The sequence below is a fragment of the Homo sapiens genome, chromosome 2 (genome assembly GCF_000001405.40).
Source record: "Homo sapiens chromosome 2, GRCh38.p14 Primary Assembly".
Classification (NCBI taxonomy): Eukaryota; Metazoa; Chordata; class Mammalia; order Primates; family Hominidae; genus Homo; species Homo sapiens.
Genome location: NC_000002.12, coordinates 69498963 through 69521230, shown reverse-complemented (window position 1 = coordinate 69521230; position 22268 = coordinate 69498963). Strand labels below are relative to the sequence as shown.

The window sequence follows — 22268 nt, the reverse complement described above, 5'->3', positions numbered from 1 at the left end:
TCTGCTAGAAGGAGAGCCACTCAGTATATTTTGATCAGTGTGTTAAAAATGTATTTGCCCACCAAGCCTACTTTCAGAAGGTCTAGTAACAATGGCATCCTGTGGGAGATTCTTTGGGAAGCATCGATTAAACAGACCTGGAAGGTTTGGGTCGATGTGGAAGCGGAAGCATTGTGTCCTCTGCCCACTCCCTTCCATTTTTCCCATACTTTAATATGAACCTTTCTCTTTTCCCTTTCTAGACTGACAGATCCCATTCCCACCACAGAGACTTCAATTGCACCCCGCCAGAGGCCTAAAGCTGGGCAGACTCAGCCGAACCCAGGAATCCTTCCCATCCAGCCAGCGCTGACACCCCGGAAGAGGGCCACTGTTCAGCCCCCACCTCAGGCTGCAGGTTTGTATCTAGATTGGTTTGAAACTCAATACACCTCTTTGTTATTCTGGACAACAGAGAAGTCTTGGAAAGCCTGGTTTGCTTTAGGATTGGACTCCAGAGGCACACAGAGATAACAGTGTTCCTTGAGGAACAGGAGGAAGCTGCCCTTGAAATTGTATGGCAGTGGCCGGGCGTGGTGGCTCATGCCTGTAATCCCAACACTTTGGGAGGCTAAGGCGGGTGAATCATCCGAGGTCAGTTCGATTTCGAGACCAGCCTGGCCAACATGATGAAACCCTGTTTTTCAAAAAAAAAAGTACAAAAAATTAGCCAGGCATTGTGGTGTGCGCCTGTAGTCCCAGCTACTGGGGAGGCTGAGGCAGGAGAATCGCTTGAACCTGGGAGGCAGAGGTTGCAGTGAGCCAAGACCGTGCCATTGCACTCCAGCCTGGGTGACGAGTGAAACTCCGCTTCAAAAAAAAAAAAAAAAAAAGAAAAGAATTGTATCGCAAATGGCTGGCAAAAGGAGAGGCCTCCTTGAATTCTGAGATGGATCTCCAAAACCACTAAAGCCCTTTGTCGCTTTTTCTAGACTTGGCCCTGATTTTTGCAGTTTGGAACCTTATCCTCCCTCTTTATTTCATATATTTCCCTTTGCCTTTAAAGAAATAAGACTCTTCCAAAGTGTTGAGTTCAGTCCAGGGCAGCTTCCCTGTTCTGTTAATTAAACTTTGGGACATTGAAATGGGCTAGGGGAGATGATTGGGTAGAAAGCATTATTTTATTCATTTGCCTCCCAGCCTACAAAAATGCCTGCTTGGGTCTAATACATCAACAGTTAAAGATGCCTGGAAGAGACAGGACTAAAGAGGCTGAAGAGCTTGGACTAGCAGACAACTTACTTTCAATTTTAGGAAGTTTGGGGTCTGATGGGCTGAGATACAAAGAAACTGAGTTATTTTCATACATGCCTAAAAAAAAAATAGAAACAAGACTCCTCTCTTTTGACATTCACAGAAGAATATTGTTTCTTTAATGCTTTGTCTCTTGAAGTATCTAACACCCCCTCATGTTTTGGCATTCTGTTTCTAATGAAATAAGTAAGCTTTGTTTCATAAAAAGGATTGATCCAAAATATCGAGTAACTGAACCCTACCAGGAAGCTGCTTTTGGTGAATTTGGTGGCCATCTACTTATAGCCACGCATCCAGACTGGGATAAGCTACATGTAGAACACCAGGGAATGATGTTGTCATGCTGCATGCCAAGAGGGGCAAAGCTTGTGCATATGTACCAAAGGCCAGTTGAATATGTAGACATTTGGGGTGCCAACTAAAGTTGTAATTGACTAAATGGGATGATTAATAAGGGAAGACTTTCTTAAGGAGGCAATATTGAACCTTGTTTTGAAAAATTTGAAGCACATAATTTAGCAAGAAGATAGAAAGACATTCCAGGTGGGACAGAGCATGTGGAAAGACAGTGAGGAGGACACGAATCTTGAGATACTCTGCACACTTGTCACCCCCTATTAGTTGTTTTGGCAAGACAGAAAGCCATTTTTGTGTGGAAGCATTTGGAACCCTTACATGGACTTTATTCTCATTGCAGGATCCAGCAATCAGCCTGGCCTTTTAGCCAGTGTTCCCCAACCAAAACCCCAAGCCCCACCCAGCCAGCCTCTGCCGCAAACTCAGGCCAAGCAGCCACAGGCTCCTCCCACTCCACAGCAGACGCCTTCTACTCAGGCCCAGGGTCTGCCCGCTCAGGCCCAGGCCACACCCCAGCACCAGCAGCAACTCTTCCTCAAGCAGCAACAGCAGCAGCAACAGCCACCGCCAGCACAGCAGCAGCCGGCAGGCACGTTTTACCAGCAGCAGCAGGCCCAGACTCAGCAGGTAAGGTGGTCAGAGTGTGGCCCTTGCTTGCATATCTGAGTCATGACTGTGAAAAGGCCCACTAGGTAAAGGTGTCTTCCCAGAGAGCCATTAAACATTACATCACTGTTTCTCATAGATGTAGATACTAAAGCATTGAGAAGCGGATCCATCACTCACACCCCTTTCACCCTTTTACTCAGGCCATGAGGAATCTGTCATCTGATTGAGGAACATCAGTACAAGAGCTATTTTTTTGGCCGGGTGCAGTGGCTCGCGCCTGTAATCCCAGCACTTTGGGAGGCCGAGACAGGTGGATCACGAGGTCAAGAGATCGAGACCATCCTGGCCAACATGGTGAAACCCTGTCTCTACTAAAAATACAAAAATTAGCTGGGCATGGTGGCGCAAGCCTGTCGTCCCAGCTACTTGGGAAGCTGAGGCAGAAGAATCGCTTGAACCCAGGAGGCAGAGGTTCAGTGAGCCGAGATCGTGCCATTGCACTCCAGCCTGGGCAACAAGAGCAAGACTCTGTCTCAAAAAAAAAAAAAAAAAAAAAAAAACTATTTTTTTTTAAGGACTGCTTTTTTTTCTTCTTTTTTCTAATACAACTGTAACACCATTATCATAAGAGAGGAAAAAATAACAATAGTTTCTTATTATCAAATATCCATTAGTGTTTAACTGTTTCTGATATCTCATAATTAAGTTGGCTTGTTTGAATCAGTATCCAATACTAACAGATTGTATTTAGTTGGTCTATATTGTTTTCCATTATCTTTTCATATATTTTTTTCACATTTTTTACTATGAATGTATTCATTTTATAATGATGAGTATATCTGTTTTTTTGGAGGTATGGTCTTGCTCTGTTTCCCAGGCTGGAGTGAAGTGGTGCAGTTATAGCTCACTGCAGCCTCCAGTTCCTGGGCTCAAGTGATCATCCCAGCTGAGTCTCTCAAGTAGCTAGGACTATAAGCATGTGCCACCATGCCTGGCTAATTTTTATTGGTAGAAATGGGGGTCTCGTTATTTTGCCCAGGCTGGTCTCAAACTCCCGGCCTCAAGCCATCCTCCCACCTCAGCCTCCCAAATCATCGGAATTACACACATTAGCCTATGCGGCTGCTGGCTGATATATCTTTTAAGTCCCCTTTTATCCATAGGTTCCCTCTCCTCTTTTTTTTTTTTTTTTTGCTTTTTGTCATTTAATTTTTCGGAGAAACTGGATTATTTGTCCCTTGGAATTTTTGGCATTCTGGGTTTAGCTGATTGCATGCTATGGTGTCATTTGATGTGTCTGACCGTCTTCCGTGTACACTGGTAATTTCTCGAGGCTTACTCAGTATTTGATTCAGTTTGACAATTCTTTGTTCTTCCTGTTGCATCATGTCAGGAGGTCTGTAATGTCTCTCTGGCCTCTATTTCACTGATATTAAGATCAGGGAGCGTGTACTTTCAGATTTCCCTGAAGACTGCGTTTCCCAAAAATATTTTTAAAAAAAGGAAGAAAAAAAGATCAATCGGTGTATTGAGGTGTTGTCTGTCTGATCCATTTGTTTAATGTTCCCCATTAGCTTAGCAGGTATCACTGATCATTTGCCAAGTTCCTTAATTCATCAGGGATGGCACAGTGATATTCTAACATTCCCTCTTCATTTGAGGGCTGGACGTTTTCCATGAAGAAATTTTTTCATCAGCTCTTTAGCTACCCTGAGGTACTGTTTGTACAGAAAAGGCAGGAAAAACACTTGATTCTTTCCTTTTGTTTACTGGTTTTCAGAGTAATAAATTTGTTCCCTCTTGTCATCCAAAGGTGAACAGTGACGTTTTTGTTTTGTTTAGTTTAGTTAGTATCATTAGGAATTCTTAGATTTTAACATATTTGATATCTTTGAATACATTGCTTTTTTTGTTTTGTTTTTACTAGAGGTGGGGCCTTGCTGTGTTGCCCAGGCTGGAGTGCAGTGGCTATTCACAAGCAGGATCCCACTACTAATCAGCCCTGGAGTTTTGACCTGCTCCGTTTCTAATCTGCGCTGGTTCAACCCTCCTTAGGCTACTGGTCCCCTGCTCCCGGGAGGTCCTCATACTGATGCTGACCTTAGTGCAGACACCCAACTAGCATAGCATACTACAACCCTTGACTTCCTGGGCTCAAGCGATCCTCCCGCCTCAGCCTTCCGAGTAGCTGGGACTACAGGTGCACACCACCATGCCTGGCATATTGCAGTTTTAAAAAATGTATTTATTTTAAAGCTCAGATTGCCCCAACTTTGGCCAGTGGAAGTCTCTTCAAATTGGCTCCTAAATCCTTTGAATGTAACTCCAGTGGTCTTTAATGATTTCCTTGCTATCTAGGATCATGCTGCCCTCTAGGATCATGCTGCCCTCAACTTGAAATCATCCATTTTTCTTAGGAGCTCTGTTTCTTTTTAGTGCAAATAATGTTTAGAAACCACAGTTTTGATGCTAGAAATACCATTTGCCTAATGGATTGCTTGTTGTTTCTAGGCCTTCTCAGTGGACAATTAGAAAATATATTTTGTTTTGTTTTGTTGGAGAATAGGCATTATGAATTCGGATTTATATTCCTAATTTGGATTTGTAATTACTGGATTTCTGTTTAACTTCTTGGATTTTGTTGTTTTTTTTTTTTTCTGGAAATCTTGATTCTTAACAGCATTAACATAGATAATTAATTGTTCTATCGTTTTAAGATAGCAATAACCATATGATTACTGAAAACAGTTTAAGATTTCCTTGCCCATTTTACCCTTAGAATGTTTAGCACATTATTTTCTGGCGCGTTCAGCTACCAATTTGATACACCGGTTTATATGCATTGTTTTGCTTTTGATTTTTAGTTATTGCTTTTTAAATTTTAGTTTAATTCTGTTTTGTGGATATGTGAAACATTTACATAGTTTCAGAGTTAAATCTGCAAAAGTCCATCCCCACCAACCCATATATAGTGGTATTGCTCATTCTTATTTACAACTTGAGAGTATTCTATTAGATATTTCCTTCAGGATATATCTATCATAAATATTTAATCAGCCAGTCTCCTGTTGATAGACATTTGGGTTGTTTCCAGTATTTTGCTGTTATAAGTAGGCAGCTATTTTTTTTTTTTGACATCTTCTAATTTGTTAACCCTTTAACTTTGCCCCAGTAGACAAACAGTATCCTCCCAATTGACTCTAATAACTACGTAAAGTATACGGGATGTTCAAAGATACAGTGTTGACCTTAGTTCATCAGCAGGCCCTTATTTTGAGCTCTGTTTGTGTATGTAGCACATAGCCCCTAACAGTGGGGATTAGAGAGACATATAAGAAGTGTGGGCCAGATACAGTGGCTCATGCTTGTAATCTCAGCATCTTCAGAGGCCGAAGCGGGAGGATTGCTTGAGCCCAGGAGGTCGAGACAGCCTGGGCAACATTGTGAGACTGTGTCTCTACAAAAAATAAGAAAAAAAATTAGCCAGGCATGGTAGTGTGCACCTGTGATACCAGGTACTTAGGAGGCTGAGGTGGAATGATCACTTGAGCCCAGGAGGTCAAGGGTGCAGTGAGCCGAGATTGCTTGCACCACTACATCCCAGCCTGGGCAACACAGCAAGACACTATCTCAAACAAACAAACAAAAGGAAGCGTCATAGAGCACACTGGCTATTTTGAATGTTTAAGGAAGTTTAATAAAAATGGAGCTCTTGGGAAATAATTTTTAGTAAGACTTGAGATGAGTCTTAATAGTTGAGTTAACATTTAGGTTATTCTTTTCAGTGTCATCATTGCTTCATCCTGTTCAGGTAGGGAAGCATTTTAATCTTGGCTACTTCAAATCCCTTTATAAGAAGGATTACCTCTATGATTAGGAGATCGTTTATTAGCTCCTGCTATACTCTAGCTTATGGAGTCACATGATGTTTAGTCAGATAGCTTCCCTTAGGCAAGGCCCAGAAACCCACTTGGAAGGCCAGTCTGTAGTGCAGGAGGCAGCCTGGTGCAATGGATGGAGCCTAGCAGTGTAAGGGACTGCTGCTGTGTTGTATTTTAATTCCCTGAGGTCTCTATCATGAGATTTTAGGCCTAGCCTCAAGACTTTTCTACTTGCCCTTGCCTTTGGCTTTAGCACTGGTCTTCATTGTTTTTGAGACATTTGTCTTTTGTGACTATTATTCTGGGACAGGCCCTTATTCATCTCCTCATTTCTTGCTCAGTTTCAGGCAGTACATCCAGCAACCCAGAAACCAGCAATTGCTCAGTTCCCTGTGGTGTCCCAAGGAGGCTCTCAACAGCAGCTAATGCAGAATTTCTACCAGCAGCAGCAGCAGCAGCAACAACAACAGCAACAGCAACAGCTGGCCACAGCCCTGCATCAACAACAGCTGATGACTCAGCAGGCTGCCTTGCAGCAAAAGCCCACTATGGCAGCAGGACAGCAGCCCCAGCCACAGCCAGCTGCAGCCCCACAGCCAGCCCCTGCCCAGGAGCCAGCGGTAAGAATCAACCAGAGCTCAGAGCACAAAAGCAGCAGAGGAATGTGCAGCGAGAGCTAGGGGAAGGGTGGGAAAGATGGCAGCAGCTGATGAGGGTCCAGGTTGCTTTCCCACCTGGGTGGTTCAATTATTTGATCTTTCCTTGATATATCCAAGAATAGTATGGATGTTCTATAGAAGATAGAGGTTTTTTTAAAAAAGGATTCTAGGCTACTGATGAAGAGCCTTCTTAATTTTTATCACTCTGAAACTAGGCTAGCAGGAAGATCTGTTCATCATCTCTGTCTGTGTCACTTTGAACAGTCAAGGACCTAGGCAGGATTAAAGCTAATCCCTTTCTCTTCTTCAAGGGGCAGTTTGATCCATTGTGCCCTTTCCAGGCCCTGGGTCCTCCATGTTGTGTTTATTCTTTGTCTTGGATGACATTACTAATCACATTATTTAAGTTTACCATGCAGCTCCCGTCAAGGGCCTGCTTACCTGAGACCATTCACCCTGGTGTAATCCCCCTGGGTACCAGAGCATCTGAGTATCCAGTCATTTGAGCCATCTTATCAATTTAGAAATTGGGCATGTCCACTTTTAGATATTGGCTGAGTATGGCATCAGAACCCCTCGTCTGATTGTCCTCTACAGTTTCAACACACACGGGCACATCATGCTTTGGCCTGTGATAAGTGGATTTTTTTCTGTACTCTTATTTTTCTGAGTGATAGTGATAGAAAATGTTATGGTGTTAGAAAAAGACATTTTGCATACCCAGCTGGTAGAGTGTCACAGCTACCCTGTTACTCCCAGGGAAGTCTAACTACTAGAGGAACAAAGGAAAAGTAAGAAGCCATCTTTCTGCTGGGCACAGTGGCCTCACGCCTGTAATCCCAGCACTTTGGGAGGCCGAGGCGGGCGGATCACAAGGTCAGGAGATCGAGACCATCCTGGCTAACGTGGTGAAACCACGTCTCTACTAAAAATACAAAAAAAAAATTAGCCGGGCGTGGTGGCAGGCACCTATAGTCCCAGCTACTCGGGAGGCTGAGGCAGGAGAATGGCGTGAACCCGGGAGGTGGAGCTTGCAGTGAGTGGAGATCATGCCACTGCACTCCAGCCTGGGCCACAGAGCAAGACTCCATCTCAAAAAAAAAAAAGAAACCATCTTTCTGAGGATTGATTTCTAATAGAGTTTTGTCTCCCATCTTAAACCAGAAAACCTACATCGCTTCGAAAGGAAGCAGTGCCGTAGATTGTCTTCTTTAAGTCTTAGCTAAGTGTGTGTTTAGTGTCTTTACACCTTCGTTTCTAAAACAACTCAGACTTCCTGCAGGCATGGAGTAGACAGTGAGTCTCTGTATTTTTAACAAGAGGTAAAGTTCCTCTTCTTCATGGAAAAAGAGTTTTTAAAAAAATTAGTACATGAGATAGCTAGAAGGGACCTTAATTATTCAGTTCAGCCTCCTCATTTTACAGAATTGGAAACTGAGGCATAGACTAGAAAGTGGTTGCCCAAGACATACGAACTGATGGTAGTGGAGCTGGGGCAAGAATCAAAGAATCCTGATCTGTGTTTAAGTTTAATTATAACAAATGCTCATCCAGGGTGATAAAATGATCAACTACTACTGACTACACTTCTTATGAGGTTCCCCTATGCTTCTCCTACACAAAAGTGTCTACTCCCTTGGGAATGAATTATGAACTTTCTCCGTGTTCTTTGGATGAAAAAACACTTTGAACACTTTGCTCTGGGATAGTTGGTTTTGGGGACAGAGAGGAAACAGAAATAGACCATGCTTTGGCCAGGAGCCATAGAGCTTCTCAGCTTTGACCCATCCTTGTCTCCGCTGACTCTTGGCAGGGCTAATCTAAAGAAGCAAGTGAATGAAGGTAAAGCGTACCCTGTAGCCATCTTAAAGCAATAATTAGCAAAGGGGAAATGGCCATTTGCCCTAGATGTTTATTGCAGTCTTATTAATAATAGCCCAGAGAATTTGGAAGCAACCTAAATTGCTGAGAAACCCAACTGTGCAGCCATTAAAAAGCACGGTTATAAAGTCTGTACAACAGTATGAAAAGAAATGCTCATGAGGTAATGTTAAAGGAATTGTGAAATTACGGAAAAACTATACACTTGAAAAGAGACTTAAAGTATAAGGTACCAAAAAGATAAGGATTGTATCTAGTTGTATTAGAGTGATGGAATAGAAGTCTGTTTTCTATATTCTTACATTTCTTGATGTGATTATACTCCTTTTATAATTACATTTTTAAAAAATCGTCAGCAAAATAGACATCTGAGTCTTTTTATTCCTTCTCCCGTGGTCTCTCTGTCCCTCCTCCCACTTTCCAATCCTGTTTGGATGGGATGGCATCATGGGGCAGAAAAGAGTCCTGAGCCACAGTCAGGAGACATGGGCTCTGCTTCCAGTTAACCCTGTGACCTTGAATGAGCATTTGGCCTCAGTGCAGGAGTTGAAATCTGCATTTTCTAAGGTCCCTTTAAACTCTCACATTCTTTGATTCTAAGTGGAAGTATAACTGTCTGCCAGGGTTGCTGGGAGGCGTAGCTGAACAGATACAAACCACTTAGTGTCTGTAGATTGCTGTTATAGGGCAAGGTGTCCTGAAGGAGGCATCTAATCTTCAGTGTGCTGCATCTGGAGAACAGAAGAGAAAAATGTTCTCCAAGTGGTAAGAAAACTATCCAACTCCTTTCCTTTATGCCATCAACCTCGAGACAAAACAACTTCGGATGTAAAATGCCCTGGAGATTTCACCATCCCTTCCCTCCAGTCCTTCATCTCAGAATAGAGTTGTCACTGGACTCTTCAAAATAAAGGGACCCAACAGTTTAGTATTCTTTTCAGATTAATGAATGTCTCATGAAATAAGCCCATTCAGTGTATCCTCAAAGCCCTCTGACCCCTATGTGTGGTAGTATTCAGCCAGCTGTTACAGGCACAACTCTGGACCCCCAGAGGAAGTTGTGGAGCTGGAGCTGTGGTTGTCTTCACAGAGCACTCTGCCTCTCCTTCAGCAGGGCAGCTTTGTTACCCTTCTAACCTCTGATTGATATTAGAACCTTATATTGTAACATTCAGCCTGTTGGTTAAGTGGATGGAATACTGACATGTGTACATAGTCTACCTTAATAAATTTTCCAAGTCCTGAGGACAAGATGAGGGCAGTCAATATCCCAAGCTAGAAGCATCCTGACCCAGGTAGCTGGATAGTCTAGTTTCCTTAAACTGTCTCAGGGCCTGCCTTTGTAGACACTGAGACTGCAGCTGAACTGAGTTGCAGCATGGAGCAGCAACTCTAATCTGAGAAGAGGGACTGGAGGGAAGGGATGGTGAAATACCTGGGGCATTTTATATCCAAAGTTATTTTATCTCTAGGTTGATAGTGTAAAGGAAAGGGGTTGGGTGGCTTTCTTAACATTTTTTGTTCATTTTCCTTGATATAGGTGACTTATGCTTAAGGACCACTCATGTGGTCACAAGGATATTCTCACCGGTATGTTGTTCTGTGGTGGCAGTTTGGCCTGTTTTGAAAATGGCCCACATCACAAGAGTCCTTGTATTATTAGCTCAGTCATCATCAGGACCTTTTTTTTCTTTCTTCTTCTTATATTCTCTGCCAGTTCTTCAATATTATGTCCAAACTGAAGATTGAAACAAGTTAATCCCACTAAACTAATGCTACATATTTTCTTAGGAGTTGCCACAGAAATAGGATCTTATATACCCATCCCATCAGTGAAATAAAGAGCCTTAACAACAAAACAAAAAAGGGAATGCTTATACATTCTTGATGGGAGTATAAGTTAGTTCAACCATTGTGGAAAGCAGTGTGGCGATTCTTCACAGAGCTAAAAAGAGAACTACTATTCAACCCAGCAATCCCATTACTGGGTGTATACTCAAAGGAATATAAATTGTTCTGCCATAAAGACACATGCATGTGTATGTTCATTGCAGCACTATTCATAACAGCAAAGACATGGGATCAACCTAAATGCCCATCAATGGGAGATTGGATAAAGAAAATGTGGTACATATATACCATGGAATACTATGCAGCCATAAAAAAGAAGGAGGATGGAGGCTTTGCAAGAACATGGTTGGAGCTGGAGGCCATTATCCTTAGCAAACTATTGGAGGAATAGAAAACCAAATAGCACATGCACTCACTTACAAATGAGAGCTACATGATGAGAACTCATGGACGCAAAGAGGGAAACAACAGACGCTGGGGCCTCCTTGAAGGTGGAGGGTGGGAGGAGGGAGAGGATCAGAAAAAATAACTCTTGTGTACTAGGCTTAGTACCTTGGTGACAAAATAATCTGTACAACAAACCCCCGTGACACGAGTTTGCCTGTTTACCTGTATAACAAACCTGCACATGTACCCCCGAACCTAAAATAAAAGTTCAAAACAAACGAGCAGTAACATTTATTAATCACAGTAGAATTTTCTCTGACTCACTCCCAACCTGTGGTCTCGCTATGGCAGAGAGTGAGGGATCTCTTAGCAGAAATCATTCAGCTTAAATGTGTTTCGCTGGAGATACGTCTTCATTGGCCTTTACCTGTAGTGATAGGATCTATTGCTTGCCCTTTGAAAGCATTCTGAATGAGTTTGTATGTGACTCCAGAAATAGAAAGTGGTCCTTTATGATAAATTCTAGATCTTTACAGCTGGAATAGCTTCTGCATTCTTATGCTTTGAGCTGAATATGGTTAACATATGGTTACCCTATATATTATCGCTGATAAAGATTGAAATTTATGTGTATCAGGCAAATACCATGTTGTTATCAGTCTCAAAGTTGCAGCACAGATTGTCAAAGCCTGGATTTTTCTTTCTGGGCATTATTGATAAACTTAGCCATGTGAGTTTCATGTTAGTGCTTATGTGGCATTTTTTGTTGTTGTTGTTACACTTATCTGTTTGTTTTTCCTTTAACTTTTTTTTTTAATTTAATGAAACACTTTCCGTCTCTCTTCCTAGCAGATTCAAGCCCCAGTAAGACAACAGCCAAAGGTTCAGACAACCCCACCTCCTGCCGTCCAGGGGCAGAAAGTTGGATCTCTCACTCCACCCTCATCCCCCAAAACCCAACGTGCTGGGCACAGGCGTATTCTCAGTGACGTAACCCACAGTGCAGTCTTTGGGGTCCCTGCCAGCAAATCAACCCAGCTGCTCCAGGCAGCTGCAGCTGAGGCCAGTCTCAATAAGTCCAAGTATGTGGTGCTTCCTCTTTGTTGTTCTTACCTCTGTGGGCAAAGTCTGCCTGCGGCTGTTAGTGTGTGATTCTTTGCATAAGTGTGTAGATGTGTGTAATGCAAATACAGTGGTGTGTACTTGTGTTTGTTTATTTTTCTGGTTTGTTTATTTTTCTGGCTCATTTCATCTTGCATGTACTTGTGTTTAATGAGCAGCTGTGAATTTGTCTTTAGTGCATGGGCCATACTAATCTTAAGAAATCTTTTCCTACTTGGCCCACTGTTCTCATTCTCTCACCTGTTCCATGCTCTACAGTGTGTTTTCTGAACTCTCGATCTGACCGAGTCTCTCCACGCTGAAAAGTCTTTCACTGGCTCCTCATGATAGCTGAGCACACTGCTTAACATAGCAGGGCCTGTTGTGTTTCACAGGCAGACTTGCCATTCTTCACCTTCCCGAGCCCTTTGTTCCTCCTGTGCCCTCTCCTGGGACTGCTATGCTCCTCCTTGCCCACCTAGGGAATGTTCATTTATTCATCAAGATCCATGTCAGAGGTTGACTTTTCCTTGACCCTTCCTCTGATATGATGTATAATTTTTGTCTGAACATTTTTTTGAGCTTATATGACATTGTGTTGTCGTTAATTATTTGTATGTCTGACCGAACTGGTTTGTGAGTTCTCCAAGACAATGACCATGTCTTAGTCAACCTTTGGAAATCCAGTGACTGGTTCTGTGCCTGACAAGTAGATTTTGATGAGTGTTGAGTAAATGCAGTTTCAGACCCTTAACTGTCTTAGAACCATACACTCTAAAGTTAAAATCTTTCAATGAAGTTAAGAGAGACTTTATAAGAAAATTATATAATGATACTTAGATGCACAAAGTAGTGGTAACTGTCTTTATTTCTTTTTAATTGTGATGGTGGCCCTTAACTCTATGCATGCTGGATCCTGAGAGATGAGAGGCAGCCTAAATAGACCTCTTTCCTGCCCTTCCAGAGGTCAGTTATTGTGGATGTTATGGTGGTCACCACAAGATACACAAGTCTAAGAACAGGTTGCTTTTAGATCCTGAACTGAAACAACTTGCAGATAAGACTGAAAACTTAAGCAAGAGATTAAGGAAGTAGTGGGAGGTAGTGAGTCATGAAGGAAAGGAGACATTCATTTCACAAAGTGGAATGGGTATCTGCGGAAATTCTTCAGGTGCTGTGGAAAGCCCTTTTAGGAAAACACTGTGGGCTGGATGCAGTGGCTCACGCCTGTAATCCTAGCACTTTGGGAGGCCAAGGCAGGTGGATCACCTGAGGTCAGGAGTTCAAGACCAGCCTGGCCAACATGTTGAAACCTTGTCTCTACTAAAAATACAAAAATTAGCCAGGCGTGGTGGCATGCGCCTGTAATCCCAGCTACTCGGGAGGCTGAGGCAGGAGAATCGCTTGAACCTGGGAGACGGAGGTTGCAGTGAGTCGAGATCACGCCATTGTGCTCCAACGTGGGTGAAAGAGCAAAACTCTGACTCAAAAAAAAAAAAAAAAATACTGTGGTGGAAAATGATGGTTTGACCCAGAAAATAATTTGATTCTGAAACAGAGAAAATAAGTTGACCCTTTTTGTTTTGTTCAACTTTTATATCTTTTTGTTTCGTGGGGGTGGGAACCTACCTAGGTCTGCAACCACCACTCCATCAGGCTCTCCTCGGACCTCTCAACAAAACGTTTATAATCCTTCAGAAGGGTCTACGTGGAATCCCTTTGATGACGATAATTTCTCCAAACTCACAGCTGAAGAACTGCTAAACAAGGACTTTGCCAAGCTTGGGGAAGGTGAGTAAGCTGTGTCTTTTTTTGTGCTTCTTGATTATAGATTCTCTGTGCTAAGAAATAACCAGGAATGAGAAAGAATCGTAACTCTAGAAGGGTATGCATGTGGAAACGTAGGCTTGGGCCTTTGCATAAGGCTTGATTTCAAAGTATGCATACAAGTCAGTTTTTATTTTTACCATGGGCCCTGAAGTCCTCATCTTCAGGAAATCCTGATCTATTGTGGGTGGTAGCAAGGAGAGTGTGATGCTTAGGGAAGAAACTTGTAGAAAAGGTTTGTGACATAGTCCAGGATAACAGCATCAGGCATGGTCCCTCCTTGGAGGAGTGTGATGGTTCTCTCATCCTAGGTTGGTTTACTGTCCCAGAAAGTTGCCACTGCTTGTCCATGAATGTGCCTTCACATGGACACTGAATCTTTCTTTCACTATAGTCAGAGTTCTGTATTACTGTACTACACAGAAAGATGATTAAATAAATAGAAGATATACTTCTGCCTGAAGAACAGTCTACTTTGGAAGGCAGGACACACACACACACACACACACACACACAGGCACATGCACACACTTTGGAACAAATTCTAATATGCATAATTCTAATAATTCTAATAATGTTAGAGAGTACTCTAATAAAAAGTACTCTCAATGTAGATAAGGGCGCAGGATAAAGGAATGATGAGAACCAATTGAGTGGTATGAACTATTGGCCAAACATTTTGGCTTTAACTATCATTTTATAGAAATCTTTTAAAACTCCAATCCAGGTGTGGTGGCTCACGCCCGTAACCCAGTACTTTGGGAGGCTGAGGCAAGAGAATCACTTGAGCCCAGGAGTTCAAGACCAGCCTGGGCAACATGCCAAGATCCTATCTCTACAAAAAATTTTAAAAATTAGCTGGGCATCCTGGCACACATCTGTAGTCCCAGCTACTTGGGAGGCTGAGGTGGAAGGATCACTTGAGCCCAAGAGGTCGAGGCTGCAGTGGGCTATGAATTTACCACTGCACTCTAGCCTGGGTGACAGAGTGAGACCCTGTCTGTTGAAAAAAATTCCTATTACTTTCTTGCTTTTTTAAACAGAAGATAGGGCATAGTACTTAACTTTTTTGGCAACTTTGTTTCATTGTTATGTATACCAGTTGTTATTCTGGACTGTAAATAGAAATACCTCTATAGACTACTGAAAATTGTAGTAGTTTTGTACCCAAATAACTAGCCCCTGAGTTTTAATAATTTCCTCTCCCTTTTCTTACTGTTCAGCTGTCAGCTTTCACATTAAGCTACTGTCATTATGCTTGTCCCTCATAACGTCTCATTATTGCCATCTCCACCACTCCCTCTTCTCATTTGCTCTCCTAAACTGCTTCCAACATGGAAAGCAGATCATCAAACTCATTAGAGCTGTATAAAGTGAATAGATTACAAGTGAGGGCGGGAGGCATTAAATGTGCAGTTCCGTAGTGTTAAGTACATTCACACTGTTGTGCAACCAACCAATCTCCAGAACGCTTTTCATTTTGCAAAACTGATGACATGCTCTCTTTTGATTCTTAACAATTTCCTTTTTTTTCTCAGCCGTTCTCTCAGTTATTGCAATGACTAGACAAGGACCTTTGAATGTGTCGCCATAATGCAGTAAAAGTAGTCAAGTCCAGAAGTCAGTTCAGAGAATGCCCCTTACCTCTGCCATGTGTGTGTGCCTCGCAAGATTCTGCTAGAATGAACTGAGTGGTGTTTTGTCTCTCCAGGCAAACATCCCGAGAAGCTTGGAGGCTCAGCTGAGAGTTTGATCCCAGGCTTTCAATCAACCCAAGGTGATGCTTTTGCTACGACCTCATTTTCTGCTGGAACTGGTTAGTATGGCAAATACCTGGAACGGGAGGTTCACTGTTGTTACCTTCACACTGTTTTTTACTCCACAGATAACTCTAGCATGCCAGTGAAATCCAAATCCTGGCAGTACCGTGTATATATATATATATGTTTTTCATGGTCTATTTAATTTAAAATTTACTTTTTTTTAATTCAAAAGCTTTCTGATCAAAAAGGGATAAAGATCTAGAACCACTTTGAATTAAAGTGGCAGGACAGTCTGGCAGTAATATGCAGGACTTGTTCTCTCTAGTCCACAGGCACGTCTTAAACAAATATTTCTAGATTTAAGAAACACCCAGTGTTCATTGCTTGTAATTTCTTAGGTTTCTGAGATTACTTGAAGAATTTTAAAAATTAAATATTCTGTTATAGCTAACACTCCTCTAAACTGTGTGTGTGTGTGTGTGTGTGGGTGTGTGTGCGCACACGCACGCACGCTGTTGGGGAGAAGGAGGGAGGTATTTTTTAATGAGACTTCTAAAAAAGGAGGGAGGTTTTTTTAAATGAGACTTTGTTAAAAGTATAGAAGCAATCATAAGAGACAAACTTTTCCCTTCTATTAATAAAAAATTATACATTTTGATTATATAAAAGTTAGTAATTTATAGAGAAGAAAGTTAAAATTCTCCATGACCTCACGACCAAGAGATAGTCTAGGGATACTATCTTGATATCTGTTAGAGGCATTTAACCTTTTGAGAGTCACAGATATCTTTGTGAATCTAATGAAAGTTATAGGTCTCCCTGACCAGAATACACATGACCACAATTTTATTTTTTGAGATGGAGTCTCGCTCTGTTGCCCAGGCTGGAGTGCAATGGCTCAATCTTGGCTCACTGCAACCGCCGCCTCCTGGGTTCAAGTGATTCTCCCGCCTCAGCCTCCAGAGTAGCTAGGATTACAGGCACCTGCCATCATGCCCAGCTAATTTTTGTATGTTTGTAGAGACGGGATGTCACCATGTTGGCCAGGCTGGTCTTGAACTCCTGATCTCAGGTGATCTGCCTGCCTTGGCCTCCAAAAGTGCTGGGATTACAGGCGTGAGCCACCATGCCCAGCCATATGACCACAATTTTGTACACTCTTTGGCCCCCTGCTTAAGACTCTGAGACTCTGATATGCATCTTTTTTTTTTTTTTTTTTTTTTTGAGATGGAGTCTCATTCTGTCGCCCAGGCTGGAGTGCAGTGGCACAGTCTCGGCTCACTGCAAACTCTGCCTCCCAGGTTCAAGCAATTCTCATGCCTCAAGCCTCTCAAGTAGCTAGGACTACCGGTGTATGCCACTATGGCCGGCTAATGTTTGTAGTTTTAGTAGAGATGGAGTTTCACCATGTTGGCCATGCTAGTCTCGAACTCCTGAGCTCAAGTGATCTGCCTGCTTCGGCCTCCCAAAGTGCTGGGATTACAGGCATGAGCTACCACACCCAACCTGATATGCATCTTTATAGTCATATTTTGAAGCCTAATTTTTTCACTTAATGAACCTGGCACATATCTCCTACATCATTAAAGAAGCTCCTAAAATATAATTTTTTTTTTTTTTTTTAGACGGAATTTCGCTCTTGTTGCCGGGGCTGGAGTGCAATGGTGCGATCTTGGCTCACTGCAACCTCCACCTTCCAGGTTCAAACGATTCTCCTGCCTCAGCCTCCCAAATAGCTGGGATCACAGGCATGTGCCACCATGCCCAGCTAATTTTGTTAAAGTATAATTTTTAAAAATTATTACAGGTGCGGTGGCTTACACCTGTAATCCCAGCACTTTGAGAGGCCGAGGTGGGCAGATCGCTTAAGGTCAAGAGTTTGAGACCAGCCTGGCCAACATGGTGAAACCTCATCTCTGCCAAAAAATACAAAAATTAGCCAGGCATGGTGGCGCACACCTGTAGCCCCAGCTACTCAGGTGGCTCAGGTGGGAGGATCCCTTGACCCCAGGAGGCAGAGGTTGCAGTGAGCTGAGGTCACAACACTGCTTTCTAGCCTGGGCAACAGCGTGAGATCCTGTCTCAAAAAAACAAAAACAAAAACAAAACTTCTAGGATACACCAGATGTATGATATATCCTAGTGTATTTAACCAATTGCATCTTTTTTAACATTAACTTTATTCCAGTATTTACTATTATAAACACTTCAGCAATGAATGTGAGCTTTTGAAAGTATTCTTTACAAGATGTAGAATTTGGCATGCTTCTAAAAGTGATCTTTTTAATTATACTGATTAGTATCTACTTTTAACCTTATCATATATTCTTTCTGCCTGCTTTCTTTAGGAATGTTAGTAGTTTTTCTAACCTCATAAATTTATTTCTGAATAGAATGTTGTCATTTAATAATATTTGATATGTAATACTCTCTTATTCTTATTATCTGGATATTTTTAAATAGAAGTTTCAATTTTTTCTTTAATCAAAAGTTACTCAGGTTATGTTTTCATTGCACTATGACCAATATGCCCTGTGCAGTCTTTGCTGTAAACTATACTGAAGGGCTGTCTGTGGCCCAGTTTGTTATTCATTTTTAAATGTCCTCTGGAAATTAGCAGTTTCCACGTCAATAAATATTAATCTACAATATGATTGTTCATGGAAGAATGGCAACATTTATTTAATATCCCCTTTTATGAATATTTACATTGTTACCAATTTTTCACCATATAAATATTCTTGAAGCTAAATTTTTGTTTATATCCTTTACAGTTTCTCTAAGATAACTTCTAAGAGACTATGTGCTAAATCAAAAGTATGTATATTTTAAGGTTTTTTATACATATTTTCAAGTTGTAGTCCAAGAAAGCTATATAAATTTTGTTTCGATTAATAGTGAATGAGAGTCATTTTCCCTGCCATTTCTCCACCCAGCCAGCACAGCCCAGGCCAAAGACTGTAGACAGAGAACCTTATTTTTATTTTATTTATTTATTTTTTGAGACAGTTCTGCTCTTGTTGCCCAGGCTGGAGTGCAATGGCACAATCTTGGCTCACCGCAACCTCTGCCTCCCAGGTTCAAGCGATTCTCCTGCCTCAGCCTCCCAAGTAGCTGAGATTACAAGCATGCACCACCACACCAGGCTAATTTTGTACTTTTAGTAGAGACAGGGTTTCTCCATGTTGGTCAGGCTGGTCTTGAACTCCTGACCTCAGGTGATCCTCCCGCCTCAGCCTCCCAAAGTGCTGGGATTACAGACGTGAGCCACCGCACCCAGCCAGAGAACCTTATTTACTGACCCATTTTTATTTCTTTGAGATTGTATTGTTTGTGTCCTTTGCCTTTTAGATTCATTTTGTAAGCATTCTTCATATGTCACATATTATCTTTTCCTAGAAAATCATCTGCAGTTTTAAAATTTTTCATTAAAGTACAACAATATATATATATATCTTTTAATATCTGTGTACATTAATTTTAATTGTATGTATTTGTGTTCCTCTTTTTCTTGGTAACTCTAGCCAGAGGTTGGATGTTTTATTATATTTTCAGAGACAACACTTAGATTTATAAAATCTTCTGTTTTCTTTTTTATTCTTTACCTTTTGCTTTTATCTTTATTACATTTTCCTGTTTGTTTGTTTGTGTGAGATGGTGTCTCGCTCTGTTGCCTAGGCTGGAGTGCAGTGGTGGGATATCTGTTCACTGCAACCTCTGCCTCCTGGGTTCAAGCAATTCTCCTGTCTCAGCCTCCCAAGCAGCTGGGACAACAGTTGCACGCCACCGTGCCCAGCTAATGTTTTGTATTTTTAGTAGAGATGGGGTTTCACCATATTGGCCAGGCTGGTCTCAAATTCGTGACCTCAGGTGATCCACCCACCTCGGCCTCCCAAATGCTGGGATTACAGGCGTGAGCCACCTCGCCTGGCCATTTTCTTGTTTTTCTTATATTTGGTGATATTAAGAGGAACACATAGTAACATATTTTAAAATTCTTTTTTAAAAAATAAAGTACTTGGGCTGTGAGTTTTTCTTCACAATTTGACAGTCATTTTCACCCAGCACAAAAGTGGGGAGGGAGGCTAATTATAATCTTCAGGGAGGCTTTGTCATGTGAAAATATTCCAATGTCCTCCTTCCTCTTTCTCCAGTTGCCTCGCTTCAACCTTTGAAGATTACACTGTTTATTAAGAATGCTTTCTAATGAGTGTGTATTTCCCTAGTAAAAAAAAAAATGGGGTTTTGTGGAGCTTAACCATAGCTCATAAATATTCGTATGATATTCTCATTATTATTTTGGAGTTATGCTTTTCATCATTAAGTAGTTAAAAATTTTTGTTTCACTTTTAGCTTTGTTTGTGTAAATTGTATAAGTATATTGATATTTTGGTGAAATTTGAAAATGTTCCAAAACCAGTTCATGCTGCTTGAAGTTTGATGTGCCACATAGTTGACCAAACATATCAAATGTGTAAAGCATTGACTGTTGTCTTTGAAATAGAACATCAAAATGATGATTAGCCATGGACCTGGGTAGGATATAGTTTGTCTGGAAAGAGGGTCACAGAATAAGCCCTGAGAGTCTTCTTTGCTGCTGAGTCCCAGAATTTGGCACGATGTTTGGCTCCATACAGACGTGTTGAATGAATAAGAAGAGTTGCTTTGTGCCAAAGCTTAGGACCTTGGATTCAGCAGCGTTAACAATCGAGGTCCCTGATCATTTTCCATCTACTCACCCTACCAACCCCAGTTTTAATGCCTAGTTTTCATCTATTACACATGGTTATGTTTCACTGTTTGTATGAGCTGTTTTTTAATGAGGTTTATTTTGTTTTTGTTTCTGCCTTTCCACTACTTTATATTTACTCCAAAGGCTGCAAATGGTTGTGTGTGTGTGTGTGTGTGTGTGTGTGTGTGTGTATATATATATATATATATATATATATATATATATTTTAAGGGACTTAAAGGCACAGCTACAAACACATATTTGAGTAAAGTTATGACAGTAATAACATTGAACATGTATCAAGCACTTGAGGCATGTTAAACCCACTGGGTAAGCACTTTTCTTGCTCATTATCTCAGGTGATCCTCACAAAGACCACCTGCCCAAGGGCACAGCTGGAGAATGACAGAATAGAGATTTGTACCTGTAGCCCAGCTCAAAAACTGTAGTTATAACCACATCTCAGGAATCTCATAAACCAGCAACACTAAGCTTTTACAAACATTAAAAAGTGTCTTCATAGTTTCCTCAGTTTATCTGGTCTTTTTCTATCAACATTTGATATTTTCCCCTCTCTCTTGTTTGCAGTGTAAATGTTTCTTTTCTGTGACACCTTCATTCTTTACAAATGAAAGAAAATTACATCTAGATCCCAGGAACTCATTTGCTCTCGTTTGTACAAAGGGCAAGATGACATCATTTTCTATAAATTTTCTAACTGAACTCAGACTGTTTACAGATTTTAAACCTTCTGATTGATCAAAGGAGAAACTAAGCAGGAAATGTCATAATGGGTTCGGGAGGATGGCACGGGGCTATATTAAACATTTGTATGGTAAAAGCTGCAAAAATGACAGACTGTGTCTATACATTGGAGGAGAAACAGGCAAACATTTAAAACTTCACATGGTGCCTCTTTATTTTCATATGTTTTCCTGTGTATAATTTACACATGTTCATTTATAAAAATGTGGAGAAATGAATAAGGCCCAAAGTAAAGAAAATAAAATCTTATAACCCCACCTTGAGAGAAGAGCATTTGCTGACATTTTACAGTATTTGTATCTAGAATTTTATTTCTGCATATAAATTTTTTTCAAATATGACTTACACCGTATATTCAGTTTTGCAGTTTGCTTTTTTTCTTTTAAATATGTTTCATTGTGTCGTTTTAAAATATTTCAAGGACTTAAAAGCAGTTATTTTATCCTTCTTTTCCTCCTTCTACCTTTAAAGAAACTTAGTTTAAAACCCACTTTAATAACAAAATTATAGAGACTGAGAACAGAATAGTGGTTTCCAAAGAATAGTAACAGGAATAAGTGGTGGGTGTCACTACAAAGGAGTAGAATGAGGAGGTCTTTGGTTTCATGGAACAGTTCTGTATCATGATTGCAGTGGTGCTCATTCTAATCTATACGGAGAATCAAGTTGCGAAGAACTATACACACAGGTTGGGGGAAGTGAAAGTCCCAGAGGGAACTAGGGGCCCCAGAAGGGAGTGCTTTAAAGGCTGAGAAATACGGTTTGAATGAGGAGTTGGGGGTCCTAGAAGAAGGTTGAAGGTCCAAGAAGTTGAGTGTTGGAAGGTGTGAGATTAGGATCCCAAGGAGTGTTGGAAGTCCAAGGAAGGGCTGAGGGTTAGAGAGTGGGAATTCAGAGTCCAAAGAACAGTGGGGTTAGTAGTGTGTCAGTGGGGGTTGGAGGTGACCTTCCATCCCATCCCCACTTCCCAGGGCAGGCCTGGAGATGAAGAGGGCAGATACTCACAGTCCTGAGAGTTCAGTGTGCCAGTCACTGAGCTGGGTCTGATAGCAGCTGCTGGCACACTGGGGCTGACCGGCCACTGGGTAGGACATGGCTGTGGAGATGATGGAGGAGGTTACCCACTAAGGGGATGCCACTGCACCTCCCCATTCCCTTCTGC

The 22268-nt window shown here is 41.5% G+C and overlaps 1 protein-coding gene, 1 non-coding gene and 1 pseudogene across 6 annotated transcripts in view, besides 1 other annotated feature; 2 read left to right on the top strand and 1 right to left on the bottom strand.

Annotated features, from left to right (window-relative positions):
* Positions 1 to 22268, top strand: part of AAK1 (AP2 associated kinase 1) — a 185743-nt gene that overhangs the window by 122509 nt on the left and 40966 nt on the right. For 3 of the 5 annotated variants that reach the window (NM_001426746.1, NM_014911.5, NM_001371575.1), the window contains exons 11-16: positions 243 to 397; positions 1991 to 2277; positions 6482 to 6760; positions 11771 to 12000; positions 13653 to 13810; positions 15558 to 15662. In NM_001426746.1, the coding sequence (NP_001413675.1) occupies positions 243 to 397; positions 1991 to 2277; positions 6482 to 6760; positions 11771 to 12000; positions 13653 to 13810; positions 15558 to 15662 (1214 nt within the window). Of the gene's footprint in view, positions 1 to 242; positions 398 to 1990; positions 2278 to 6481; positions 6761 to 11767; positions 12001 to 13652; positions 13811 to 15557; positions 15663 to 22268 lie in introns of all 5 variants that reach the window. The other 2 variants (NM_001426745.1, NM_001371577.1) reach the window with 2 other exon arrangements.
* On the top strand, positions 1060 to 1187 carry SNORA36C (small nucleolar RNA, H/ACA box 36C). Its single transcript, NR_003705.1, has one exon. It is a non-coding gene; the product is annotated as a small nucleolar RNA, H/ACA box 36C (small nucleolar RNA).
* Positions 2020 to 2314: an enhancer, noted in NCBI's record as "tiled region #9634; K562 Activating non-DNase unmatched - State 8:EnhW". NCBI's record gives its function as "activates a minimal TATA promoter and a strong SV40 promoter by Sharpr-MPRA in K562 cells {active_cell/tissue: K562}" and the evidence as "EXISTENCE:reporter gene assay evidence [ECO:0000049][PMID:27701403]".
* RN7SL604P (RNA, 7SL, cytoplasmic 604, pseudogene) lies at positions 4185 to 4480 on the bottom strand (annotated as a pseudogene).